Source organism: Homo sapiens, chromosome 6, assembly GCF_000001405.40.
Source record: "Homo sapiens chromosome 6, GRCh38.p14 Primary Assembly".
NCBI classification, from domain to species: domain Eukaryota; kingdom Metazoa; phylum Chordata; class Mammalia; order Primates; family Hominidae; genus Homo; species Homo sapiens.
This window is the reverse complement of record NC_000006.12, coordinates 46652975-46666267: the sequence shown is the minus strand read 5'-3', so window position 1 is coordinate 46666267 and position 13293 is coordinate 46652975. Positions and strand designations below refer to the sequence as shown.

At 38.5% G+C, this 13293-nt stretch overlaps 1 protein-coding gene across 8 annotated transcripts in view, besides 2 other annotated features; it reads right to left on the bottom strand.

The window, feature by feature from the left end:
• SLC25A27 (solute carrier family 25 member 27) overlaps positions 1 to 13293 on the bottom strand; it is a 25216-nt gene extending 11923 nt beyond the window's left edge. For 6 of the 8 annotated variants that reach the window (XR_007059387.1, XR_007059388.1, NM_004277.5 and 3 more), the window contains exons 1-5: positions 12970 to 13293; positions 10234 to 10425; positions 7222 to 7306; positions 3770 to 3892; positions 1382 to 1494 (exon numbers count right to left, since the gene is read on the bottom strand). Coding sequence is in view for 5 of the 8 variants with exons in the window: in NM_004277.5 (NP_004268.3) it covers positions 1382 to 1494; positions 3770 to 3892; positions 7222 to 7306; positions 10234 to 10425; positions 12970 to 13075 (619 nt within the window). In the remaining 3 variants the exon portion in view is untranslated. Of the gene's footprint in view, positions 1 to 1381; positions 1495 to 3769; positions 3893 to 7221; positions 7307 to 10233; positions 10694 to 12969 lie in introns of those variants that run through there. The other 2 variants (XR_007059389.1, XM_047419575.1) reach the window with 2 other exon arrangements.
• Positions 12856 to 12955: a silencer, noted in NCBI's record as "silent region_17273". NCBI's record gives its function as "represses an Ori minimal core promoter by ATAC-STARR-seq in GM12878 lymphoblastoid cells {active_cell/tissue: GM12878}" and the evidence as "EXISTENCE:reporter gene assay evidence [ECO:0000049][PMID:35858748]".
• Positions 13136 to 13265: an enhancer, noted in NCBI's record as "active region_24654". NCBI's record gives its function as "activates an Ori minimal core promoter by ATAC-STARR-seq in GM12878 lymphoblastoid cells {active_cell/tissue: GM12878}" and the evidence as "EXISTENCE:reporter gene assay evidence [ECO:0000049][PMID:35858748]".

Genomic DNA, 13293 nt, shown 5'->3' with positions numbered 1-13293 from the left:
AAGAGACACAAGCAATAATAGCTATAGAAACACACAAAAGGGCATATAATACAACATGGCATGGGGGAAGGGATTGTGGCAGGTTCAGGAAAAATATATTGGTGAAGAAGACACCTTAGCTGAGTATTAGAGGACCTCTAGAAGAAAACTATGTAGGAGAGGAGGGAAAAGGACAGAAAATACAGAGGTGAAGAACAGTTTGGTATGTGCAGGCAGTGGAATCTTTCAGCTCATTACTGCACCACTCTTTGCAAGAGAATCAATGAATTGCTTAGTTCTCTGAAGGCACAGGCCAGATTTTGCAGATCTTCTAAGTCACATTCCAAAATTTCCACTTTATTTTGTGGGTGATGATAAGCCAGTGACAAGTTTTAGGGACACCAATAATGTGTTAATATCTGTGTTTCAAATAAATCACTCTGGATACCGGGTACACATTTGAGGATGGAAGAGGAGACAAGTTAGATGGCTGTGGCAGTGGTCCAGCGGAGAGGTTTTGAAGGCTAGTGGTGTAGAAATGGTCATTTTAAGGATACTAAAGTAGTACGTATAGGAGGGGAAAAACTTCTTTTTTTTTCTTTTGAGATGGAGTCTCGCTCTGTTGCCCAGTCTAGAGTACAGTGGCGCGATCTCAGCTCACTGCAAGCTTCGCCTCCCGGGTTCACGCCATTCTCCTGCCTCAGCCTCCCGAGTAGCTGGGACTACAGGCACCTGCCACCACACCTGGCTAATTTTTTGTATTTTTTAGTAGAGACGGGGTTTCACCATGTTAGCCAGGATGGTCTCGATCTCCTGAGCTCGTGATCCGCCCGCCTCGGCCTCCCAAAGTCCTGGGATTACAGGTGTGAGCCACCGCACCCGGCGGAGGGGAAAAACTTTTAAGAAATATTTGGGAGACAGAATTGGTATGTGAATATGAGAAGTGAGGGGTAGGGATGAGTTAAGAGAACATTGAGGTTTCCAGCCTGGGGTGTGAGACTGTATAAAAATTGATTATTTAGGAATAGGAGCAGGATTGCCAGGGGAAAGATTTGGACAGTCTGGATATAATAATGATCAGATAGCTGTATATATCAGTTTTAATCTTAAAGGAAGGTCTGGACTGGAGGGGAGGCCTTACAAATAGTTTAGCCTTGTGTCCTTATTGTCACAATTTGCCTATTTTAGTAAATCCTATCCTTTTCATACATCACTATAGAATGAAGCAAAAATGCTCTGTGGAAAATATTCAGTTATGACCTAGAACATCTATACAGCCAGTCAACAATATATGGTCACCAATATATTAAAAATAAAACATAAATTTTAATTTCCCTAATATAAGTGCTTACAGCTATTAAGGCAATTAGGACTTTTTAGAATTTAACAAAGTTTTCATTACCTCCCATATTCACCAGTGCTGCTCTTTGTATATTGGGTACCCAGCCTGCCCAAAGCCCTCGTATTCCTCCTTCAGCTAAGATTTTTGCAAATGCATGATGTACACCACGAAATCTAAGGAGAATAATAATTAAATGTGAAAACTCCATGTATTCCTGTGTATGAAATTCAACTGGATAAGCTTCACTTATAGCTCTTATAATCTGGAGTAAATAACATCCAGATATAATTTATCCAGAATTATTAGAAATGAAGCAATCTATGCAAGTCTAATTTACAGATAAACATAATAATCCTTTAGAAAAAAGGCCAACATTTGACTTAAATATTTTTAATCAAAATCTTTATACACTGTATCATCCTCTTCTCAGATTATTAAATGGATAAAAATACCTTTCTTGATATTTTATATTATCAGTACATGTATTAATTATAGGAGAAAACCAAAGGTTATCAGATTCTGGGTTAATTTTACTGGTGATGGAAGGGACCTGCAAATTTTTAGAGTTCATCAAATAATGACATTAACAACAATTAATCTCATAAAAAATGACAGACTAAGAAGTAAAAAGGACAATTTCATAAAAAGTTCTTAAAACGGAAGAATTTTAGCTTCAAAAAAATTTAGTAGACTATCTTTATCTTGCTCATTTCTCTATAGATAGATGAAGAATGGTGCTGAAGAAGCATAAACAAATATGAAAACTTCTGGCATTAAAAGAAAGTCTGAGCTTTATGTAGTCAGAAAAACCTGAAGTCACATGCCACCTTCACCACTTACTAGCCTGTGTGGCTTTTACTCAGGCATCACACTCTCTGAATCTCACCAAAAAGATAATATCACATATTTATTGGACACACATAATTGCTGTTATGATACATGAGAAGTTATGATCATGAATGATGATCACTGTAACTAAAATTTATGGAGCACTTACTAAGTACCAAGCATTTAATATACATGAGATGCATGTTAATACTGAAAATTCTGTGAGGTATATAATATGATTCTAATTTACATTCGAAGAAACCAAGGCTTAAAATGGGTAAGGAACTTGACTATGATTACAAAGCTAAAATATGGTAAAGACTGGCTTTGAATCCCAGGCTGTCTGATCTCAATGTTCATGCTTTTTACTGTAGTATATAACTTGTCCCCTATTACAGGTTAATATAAAGAGTTTGATTATTAAAGTGTACTACATTAGGTGCATTCAATCCAAAAATTTCCAACATTAAGAACAAAGAGGGGAAAAAAACTGAGTGATCAGTTAAAAACTCAGATATTCTGGATCCTAATAACCAGTTTTCTCCTCCTATCCAACAAGGCAGTGTGACTTCTCCCTGTTATTTAGTCATTAGAAGTTGTTATAAGATGACAAACTGGGCCCTGGGGTTCTATAAACTACTTGGTTAAGTCACAGTGGTACCCTTTTCTCCTGTGCTGTGCATATTCTCTACATGCTTTGAAGGCTGAAGGGGACCCTGGGCTGCAGCAGCCCAGTCTCCTTTTCCACTGAGTCAGCTACATGAAGAGGGGCAGACAGCAGTGGTCAGCGGTGAAGATGGCCCCAAACCCTCCTTTGCCTCTGGCTCAGCTGCAGACCTGGAGTGTTCACAGGAGCAGCTCCCTTTGTACTCAGCTCAAGTCATCCTGTAATTACCTTTTTTCTGGGAAAGGTCTATCCATCTGCATGATTTTGTCCCTTTCCCAGGGGAAACTAAGTGGTATTTTAATAAACTGTTGAACATGAAACCCTTGGAAGAAAGGTGGATTTTAGTAATATAGTGTAATGCAATGGGAGGATTTTATATCCCAAAGCCATATTAGGGAAAAAGAGGGCTTCAAGATGAAGGAGGAATGAGATTCAACAAGAAAGTTGGGACAATATGCAACGTTATCCTTGCTACTCTCTTTCTGCAGGAGAAAGGGAATGAAAGCAAGGTTTTTCACACTAATGAGCAGTCAGGCATGTTAACCATCATGACAGCCTTTTGAGCGAGTTTATAAAGATGAAAACCCAAGAGACCAGAAATGTTAAGTGACTTCCACAACACCAAGCCACAGTGGCAAAATTGAGATTCACACCAGGGCAAATTTTAATAATCAAACTGTTTATGTTAACCTGCAGTAGGGGACAAGTCTAGCCTTGGCTGGGAAAAGCAGCAAAGAACATTACACATATATAATTTGTCTGGTATAGAACATGTACACTTCCTAGTGCAAAGAAAAGATCCAGCTTAGTGTTCCTCTTAATGAACTTCCAGATTAAAAAAGTCAGAAGTAATATCTTTACTGCATACTGGATGATAATTCTATTAGGTACTTGTTAAAAATATGACGGTGGCCAAGGGAAAAAGAGAGGTATTGGTTAATTGGAGAACTTACCGCAATGGTTTTCCTTCCAGTTTCCTTTTTCCTTCCATTTGCATCTGAACCTTCACTAGGTCAGTTGGATTGGCTAAAAACTGGCCAATAACACCAGCCATCATCCCTCCAATGACTGATTTCCTAATTGCAGAAGGAAATTCTTTTTAAAGTTGCCATTAATTTCACGAATTTTATAGTGAACCAATACTGAGCTGGTACAGGGCCTAGGTAAGAGATTTCAGATCAAGTAAAGAAAAGGATATACCCAAGTAAGTCACAGAGTAAAGTAAACAGTTTGACTGTTTACTGATGGGAGGTTAAAGGAGTACAATGAGTGAAAATTTCAGGCCTTATATGGCCTGAAATCCAAAGGAAAGAGCAGTTGCTTCAAAGATACACACATCTGAATTGATAATTTAATTGTAGTTTAATTCCAACTACAGGGGAATAAAAACTGCATAGATGTAGTCAGCCTAACAGACAAAGGCTAGACTCCGGTCAACTTTAACCCAGATTACTGCAGTAGTCTCTTGGGGAAAATAAGCATTTTATTTCCTTTTACTTTAAAATAACTTGAAGAGCTACAAATGGGTATAAAAGAAAAGTCTCCTTCTGACCTCTATGTCCAGCTCCCCTCCAGTGAAGCAATCACAATTACTATTTTATTATATCCCTTGCCAGAGATAATAACGAATTCACTGAATGCTCATGTCAGGCACTGTTCTGAGCATTTTAAAAATACCATTTCATTCTCATATCAACCCTCATGACAGTGCTGTCATTCTCTCTGTCAGATGAGGAAACTGAAGCATAGAGCAGTTGAATGGCAGCTCAAATCACACAACTAATCAGTGGGACAGCCAAGATGTGAATCCAGACAGCCTGCATGCAGAGCCCACAGTCTTAAACACTAAGTTATGACTGACAGTTTGTGCATACACAAGCATATCTGTATAAATGTTCCTTTGTAAAAGCGCTAACATAGAATGTCAAGTTGTACAGTGTTCTGCACTGTTTTCTTAACAGCATATCTTAAAGGCTATCCCTATCAGGTCATATAGAGCAGCCTCATTCTTTTTAATAGTTTGACAGTATTTCATTTTATGGATATGCCATAATTTATTTAACGAACATAACTTTAAGAAATTTGAACATTTACATAACATTTGCTAGAGCCTGTCAAATTGCTTTCCAGAAAACCTTTATCAATTTGCACTTCCACCAACAACCTGTGAAAATGCCTGTTTCTCCACACAATGATGAGCACATACATTATCATATTTTTTCTCTTTGCATCTCTCATACCTGTTTCTCCACACAATGATGAGCACATACATTATCATATTTTTTCTCTTTGCATCTCTCATAACCACTCTTTTCTCTGTATTTTTTACATAATTCTAATTGTTTATTCATCGACTCTGTTACTGTAAGCTGAATGACGGCAGGACTGTTTCTTTTTCATTACTATAGCCTCAGTATTAAGTATAAGACTGGCATACCATACCATAATTACCCAATAAATACCTACTGACTGAATGAATTGTTCTGATTGGGTCAAAAGGACATTAAACCTATCCACCCTAAAAGTTCTGGTATAATATTTCCTTTGCACTTTTTACTTAAACCTTTCCCTTCTGGAAGAAATTCCAAAACGCAAGGACTATAAATCTATTCCATAATTGACTCTGGGAAAGCAATTAGTATAGCTTAGTACATTACAATTTTTCAAAAACAAGATAAAGAAATGTTGCCTGAAAGGTGAAACTCTACATATTGCCCCTTTTTATAGCTGTGACTTAGATTTTTTTAACCCTAAGAAAGATTTTATAGGCATCTTTCCATGTTAGTCATATGAAACCCACCTCATGCTTTCAATAGCTGTGTTATGCCATAAATATATCATAACCTACTTAACTGCTTCCAAATCAATAGTTTAAATTAAAAAAATAATTTTCTATCATCAACACTGCTACAGTCAATATCTTTGTGTCTGTCTTAATGCATATGTAGAAGCATTTATAAATGATTATAATCACAAAGGGGTTACACGTTCAAAAATGTTAACAAGTAATTTATGCTCCAAAAAGACTATAGTAACTTATATTTCCACTAACAGCTTAAAGTTAGTTTTAATTAATTTCCCTGATTATTGGTGAGTTTGAACATTTTTATGTTTAATGAACATGTATATTTCTTTTGTGAACTGCCTATTGGTATCCTTTCCTTATTTTTCTATTGTGCTTTCTCTCTCTCTCTCTATACACACACACACACACACACACAGACACAGAGGTGAAGAACAGTTTGGTATGTGCAGGCAGTGGAATCTTTCAGCTCATTAGTGCACCACTCTTTCCAAGAGAATCAATGAATTGCTTAGTTCTCTGAAGACACAGGCCAGATATTGCAGATCTTCTAAGTCACATTCCAAAATCTCCACTTTATTTTGTGGGTGATTAGAAGCCAGTGACAAGTTTTAAGGACACCAATAATGTGTTAATATCTGTGTTTCAAATAAATCACTCTGGATACCGGGTACACATTTGAGGATGGAGGAGGAGACGAGTTAGATGGCAGTGGTCCAGCTGAGAGGTTATATAATTTTATATATATAATTATATATATATATGCAATTTTTTATTTTTATTTTATATTTTTTGAGACAGAGCCTTGCTCTGTCACCCAGGCTGGAATGCAACAGTGCAATCTCGGCTCACTGCAACCTCCACCTCCTGGGTTCAAGCGATTCTCCTGCCTCAGCCTCCTGTGTAGCTTGGATTACAGTCCCCCACCACCAAACCCAGCTAATTTTTTGTATTTTTAGTAGAGACAGCGTTTTGCCATGTTGGCCAGGCTGGTCTCGAACTCCTGACCTCAGGTAATCTGCCCACCTTGGCCTTCCAAAATGCTGGGATTACAGGCGTGAGCCACCCCGCCCAGCGTGTGTTTTCTATATTTCTATTTATTTATAGGAGCTCTATGTATATTATTTTTAGTAACCGATTTTTTCAGTTTCCGTTAAATAATATACACTTACATTCATCATCTCACCGTGTCCTATAAAAACACTTAATGGTTTGTATTACTTCTATAGCTGTGAAAACTGAAGATAAAAAAGGTGAAGCAGTTTGTCCAGGTTATACAGTAGCAGAGCAGGAATTTGAGCCCATCCCTGTCTGACTCTAAAGCCGAGAGTTCTTAATAAAAAGAGGAATAAAAAGGTACTCTATAAGAATTCTTTCAACAGTAAAATACTAAATATCTCTATATATGCAATTTATATATGTATATACATGTATGTCTGTATACATCTGCAGTAAATGCTCAATTATCTGGACTTATATTGTAATTATTATTTTAAGTCCATAACTTAAGGCAATTTGGGTACAAATGTACAATTTTACATAAACCTAATAAACATTAAGGCATTTGGGGCAACAGCATATTATTTTCCAAACAAAACTTACCAAAGGGGATAATGCTCATCTTCACTTTTGCCAAACACAACCTCTCGGAGATGTTCATATGTGACCATTCGACCTCCAGAATACACTGGGTAAAAAAGATCATTAAAAAGGTAACTTTGGCTATATGTATCTATATGCTTATGTATGTATAAAATAAGAGGACATTCCGACATGGCCTAGTCAATCTCTCTAGCTGTGTCTTTGTCTCATGGGGCCGGTGCTTCTAACACGTGGGCTTCTTGATGCTTCTCCAAATGGGGCATGCTCTTTTCAGACTCTGCCCTTCCCACACACTGTCTGATCTTTCTAGAATGAATTCTCCCTTCTCTGCTTTACTAACATCTCCTTGTCTTTCAGGACTCAACTCAAAAACATGTTTTTCAGAAACTGCTCTCTGACCTTTTTATCATATTGATTAGAAATTAACTCTTCTTGCTTATCTTTCCATCAGACCATGAGCTTCTCCAGGCAGGCTCTATGTGTTTGTTTTTACTTACCCCAGATGCCCTAGTACATACCTTGGTACGCAGCAGGCATTTTCATTAAATAAAGATACATAATTTCATTGGAGAATTTATTGTAATTTTTCAGCTAAGCATCAAACGTATGAAATGAATCTTAGCTGTAAAACAACACAATGAACAACAAACTACAAATGAAAAGAAACTCAAAATAATAATGGGATGCAAAGCAGAAAATATTTTTAAAAGGATGGAAAACAAAATAATTAAAATCAACCATGGTATTTGTATAGAGAGCTTTTCTTGATGTTTTAGAAAGTTGATGAAATATTTTAAGATACTCAAAAATATACAACTTGGAAAACCAGTAACAGTCTCTGCACACAGTTCTAGATAGTTTTTGATGATACACGCTAACTTACTCATATGGAGAATTGAATCTTTAAAAATATTAAGCCAGCAAATTTTAGAAATTAGAACTGAGCACTCTTCTGATCAAGGATCCTTTCATGCTTCAGGAAACATTATGAGGAGAAAAATGCCAAACCTATCCTACCTCCTTTGAAGCCAACTTTATATTCTCCTGTACACAAGCTATAAAATCAAGTCCTCCTCTTGTGAGTGCCACTGTGGAAGCAGAGCAGAAAAATGTTCTAACTGGCATAGTTGCAACCATCTTCCTTTAAGGGTGACTAAGGCCCACATAGCTAGTTAGGTAGCCTTGGAACTGGGGCAAAAATCACCTGTGTTGCATTTACACTACAGCCAGTGTTGGATTAGGCAGTGAACTCTGTCCTCTTTCAGAGTAGCCTGGTCTTAGATTATGAGACAGGGACTCATGAGATTTGGCACTGTAATAAATATATGTTAATTTTCAAAAAATATGAAAAATTTAAATTCTGTGTTTAAAGTTCTTAAGTGAAGAAAAATGATAATCAGCTATTCACTTTTTCTTTCTTAAACCTATACAAATTTTTATTAAGAAAATTTTCAAACACTGAAAAGTAAATAATATGTAACTCCCTCTATCTCTACCATTGAGATTTATTAACTGCTAACATTTTTGCCATATTTCCTTAATTTTCTAACTTTTTAAATTTATTTTGTATTTTTTATTTTTTTGAGACAGAGTTTCGCTCTTGTCACCCAGGTTGGAGTGCAATGGCATGATCTCGGCTCACTGCAACCTCTGCCTCCTGGGTTCAAGCGATTTTCCTGCCTTAGCCTCTTGAGTAGCTGGGATTACAGGAATGCGCCACTAGGCCCGGCTAATTTTTGTATTTTTAGTAGAGACAGGGTTTCACCATGTTGGCCAGGCTAGTCTCGAACTCCTGACCTTAGGTGATCCACCCACCTGTGCCTCCCAAAGTGCTGGATTATAGGTGTGAGCCACAGCACCCGGCCCAATTTAATATTTTTAGAGATGGGGTCTTGTTTTGTTACCCAGGCTGGAGAGCAGTGGCAGGATCAAAGCTCACTGCCACCTTGAATTCCTGGATTCAAGCTGTTTTCACACCTCAGCCTCCCAAGTAGTGGGGACTACAGTCATGTGCCACCAGGCCTGGCTAATTTTCTTACTCTTTGTAGAGACAGGGTCTTGCCATCTTGCTCAGGCTGGTCTCGAACTCCTGGGCTCAAGCAATTATCCCGCCTCGGCTTTCCAAACTGCTGGGATTATAGGCATAAGCCACTGTATCTGGCTTGCTTCATTGTTTTTTGCTTAATTAAATATTTTAAAGTGGTTTACAGATTTCATGACAGTTCATCCCTAAATACGTGAGTATGCGTTTCTAAAAATTTAGGACAGTAACTTCTTAATAATAATCAGTAGTTAATTTTTTTCTTCTTAAGAGACTATATGTGTTCTGGCTGGGCACGGCGGCTCACGCCTGTAATCCTAGCACTTTGGGAGGCCAAGTCAGGTGGATCACCTGAGGTCAGGAGTTTGGGACCAACCTGATCAATATGGTGAAACCCCGTCTCTACTAAAAATACAAAAATTTCACAAGGTCAAGAGTTTGAGACTAGTCTGATCAACATGGTGAAACCCCATCTCTACTAAAAATACAAAAATTAGCCAGGTTTGGTAGCATGTGCCTGTAATCCTAGCTACTCAGGAGGCTGAGGCAGGAGAATCGCTTGAACTCGGGAGACAAAGGTTGCAGTGAGCCAGGGTCACACCACTGTGCTCCAGCCTGGGCAACAGAGCGAGACTCTCTAAAAAAAAAAAAAAAAAAATTAGCTGGGTGTGGTGGCGTGCACCTGTAGTCCCAGCTACTCAGGAGGCTGAGTCAGGAGAATCGCTTGAACCTGGGAGGCAGAGGTTGCAGTGAGCTGAGATGGCGCCACTGCACTACAGCCTGGGCGACAGAGTGTGACTCCATCTCAAAAAAAAAACCTAAATAATAATAAAAAAAGACTATGTGCTGTATGTGTTCAGTTATTGTATCAGTAAGATAAAAAAACTAACTTGTTTTTGGACAAACAGAAAAGCACAGGAGACAAACACAGAACTCATAACAAACTTACCAGCTAGAATCAAGATAAATACCTACGTGTCTGTAAATGGCGGGTGTCACTCCTTGCCAAAGCTTTAGAAAGCCTTCCTCTTCAATGATCCCTAGAGCTGTGCGCACCATTCCCCTATAGGGGGCAGATTCTCTTGCACCGTCTCCCAACCGAGCAAGAGCTGCTTCTCCTTGCATTTGGAGTCGAGTTTTTGTGAGATCCAGGGGAAAGGTTGCTAACAAAAACACAAATGCAGGGAAAAACCCACAACATTCAGAGAAACAAACAAAAATCTAAAATCATAGGAGTAATATTTTCCCAAGACTGGTTGTTCTCAAATTTTAGAATATATCAGAATCAGCTAGGGAGATTTTAAAAATTAGAAATTTCCTAGCCCCGTGCCCATGGATTCTAATTCAGTAGGTTGAAGAGGGTTTAGAAACTTGATTCTCACACAGTCCCAAATTTAAGAATCACTACGCAAGAGCATCCTGGATCACTAGCAAAAAAAAAAAAAAAAAAAAAAAAAAAAAAAAAAAAAACAAACATTAACAATAAAAATTAAAATGACAAGCCTTGGGTTCTTTCTATTCAGAAATTTAACTTTAATATCTGTTAGTCATTAATTTTTGCTTTTCAATGGGAAATAATTTAAAGTACCATATTGTGTGCTATCCTCTTGACTGCAGCCATGATTATTTGAGATCTAATGTAACATTAGAATACTGCACTATATATTCTTATGTACTATAACAAATGCTAGATGAAGCTGAACTCTATAATTTCGTGGGTGATGTTCACATGCAGATGAATGACTGACATAATGTTTGAGATACAGAAGATGTAATGGAGTTTATAATGTTGTCTTTTATATGCAAGGGTCATAAGCTCAATATCCTTTCAATTAAAGCATATATGGAATTATTTTTCCAGCACTAAATTATATGCATCGCCTACTCATGGCCTCCTTACAAGTACTAACTGTATTTTGGAAAAATTTTTTGGTTTTAAGTTTTAAATTAGATACAGACCTTTTACCTTAATACAGTTAAGCTAAACGGCCTACATAAGGAAGATAGAGCTCATAACCTTATACAGAAAACGTCCTGAATAATTAAAATAATAACATTCAGACAAGTTCATGAACATTACTTACATTATATAAGACTTTTCAATGACCACCACCTGACACAAAACCTTAGTATACCTTTTCCAAGAGAAAACAATGTGGGGAAGGGAAGTGAATATTAAATCTTACCACTGGTTTTTGGAAAAGTTAGTATCTTGCTGACAGTTTCCCTAGAACAGAAGTAGCTTGCATAGACTTCAAGCAATATTTTATTGACATATGAAACCTGAAAAATCTTAATAGATTTCTCCATATTACACAGATTATGTCTTTCAAAATAAGTTTTGTTTTCTCGCTGGTTTGTTAAATGATGCTTCAGGTTCCTGAAGTGGTTTGTACTTAAAACCATCCCACATTTTGATTCCCATCCATTCTCCACACACAATTCTCTCCATGAATTTTTAACGAGGAATAGTCCTGTATAAAAGCCATTGAGTCAGAGGGGGACACATCAATTAAAAATAAAACCTGGAAATATCATTCAGCAATCTGCTTTTAGATCTTTTTAAGCTGATGAATTTTATTTCAGTAAAAACAATGAAAAGTAAAAATTCTCCATCATTTTCGAAAGGAGAGACATTAAAAAATAGAGGGGCTAAAAGGCAAAAATGGAAGAGCACGAAACAACTGATCATGGCTGGCTATGCTAGAATTAAAAAATAAACTCTTAAAATAGGACCAACTAACATTTACAAATGATAACGCATCAGAACTGTTCTTTTTATTTTTTTGTAACAGGCAAGAAAATGTAAGGGTAATCTTAAAATACACAGTTAAGGCTTCACAGGAAACACATGAGTATACTACTCACAAAATCCTTGGAATAAACGCTACTTGCTCATTCAAGGGCATCATCATTCCACTCTAGATGGCCTCTTAAAGTTTTTTCTTACTCATGTAGGCAGATGTAACTGCTCTTCTATGCTTTTATGACACCTAATAATATCTTCATTATAACAAGTAGCACATTATAATTGTCTTTCTCTGTCTCCCCAGCAGCCTGTAAGAAGGTCAGAACTGGGTCTTTTCAAATATATATCCACAGTCCCTGGTATTGTAGGAATTATAAAAATGTCGCAACTAATGGGTGTCCTGCCTTGGGTTTAGCAATCATATATTATTGACTTCTCAGAATCCTGCAAGGTAAACAGTATAGATGAATTACACTCAAAGAGGTCAAGTAGTCGATGCTCTGTGAGTGGCAGGTTAATAACGGAAGTCCCACAAGGTAGGTCCACAACTTGGACCCACAAGATAATGACAGTGTGGCTGTGTAAGACTATAAACCACAGAGATGATCTCAGTAAGGATGGAAAACAGATTACGTTTTTAAAAAGGTCATCCTCATGAAAAGGAAAATGATTCCTACAGAGGAATGACAGCTCGCGAAGCTTCTTAAAGTACAACATTCAAGCACCACAGCACATGCCTAAGGGAAGCATTAGAAGAGATTAGAAGGAAAAGGCCGTGGAGACCTCAATCCCTCCTCCTCCCACCGCGGGCCTGGCCTCCACCGCCACCTCTGCCAGGCGGGCATGGAAGGGGCGACCTCTCCGATGCGCACTGCCGGGCGCGAAGCCGCCCGCGCACCCTCCCCCAGCGCGGCGCGTGCCACTGGCCCGGGAGGCCCAGGCGTGGGCAGCCGGGTACCTAGCTCGGCCACGGTAGCCGCGCAGCCGGACAGTAGGAATTTGCTCGCTCGGGGCCATCTCTGGGTCAGCGGCAAAAGCCTCTCCTCCTCCTCCGGGACGGACATTCAGCAGTAGCGCAAGACGATAACGCACTCCTTCTCGCCGCTGCGCTGCACCGCGCCGCGGCGGCCGCTTCCCTGCCAGGGCGGCCCCTTTTCAACCGGCGAGTGGCCGGGTGAGGACCATTTCCCTCGTTCGGCTCGGCCGGGTGGACCCGCAACCTTCCTAGCAGTCCCAGCTGGAGTGGTCCAGCTGCCCCTTACACCCCAGAATAGAAAAACAC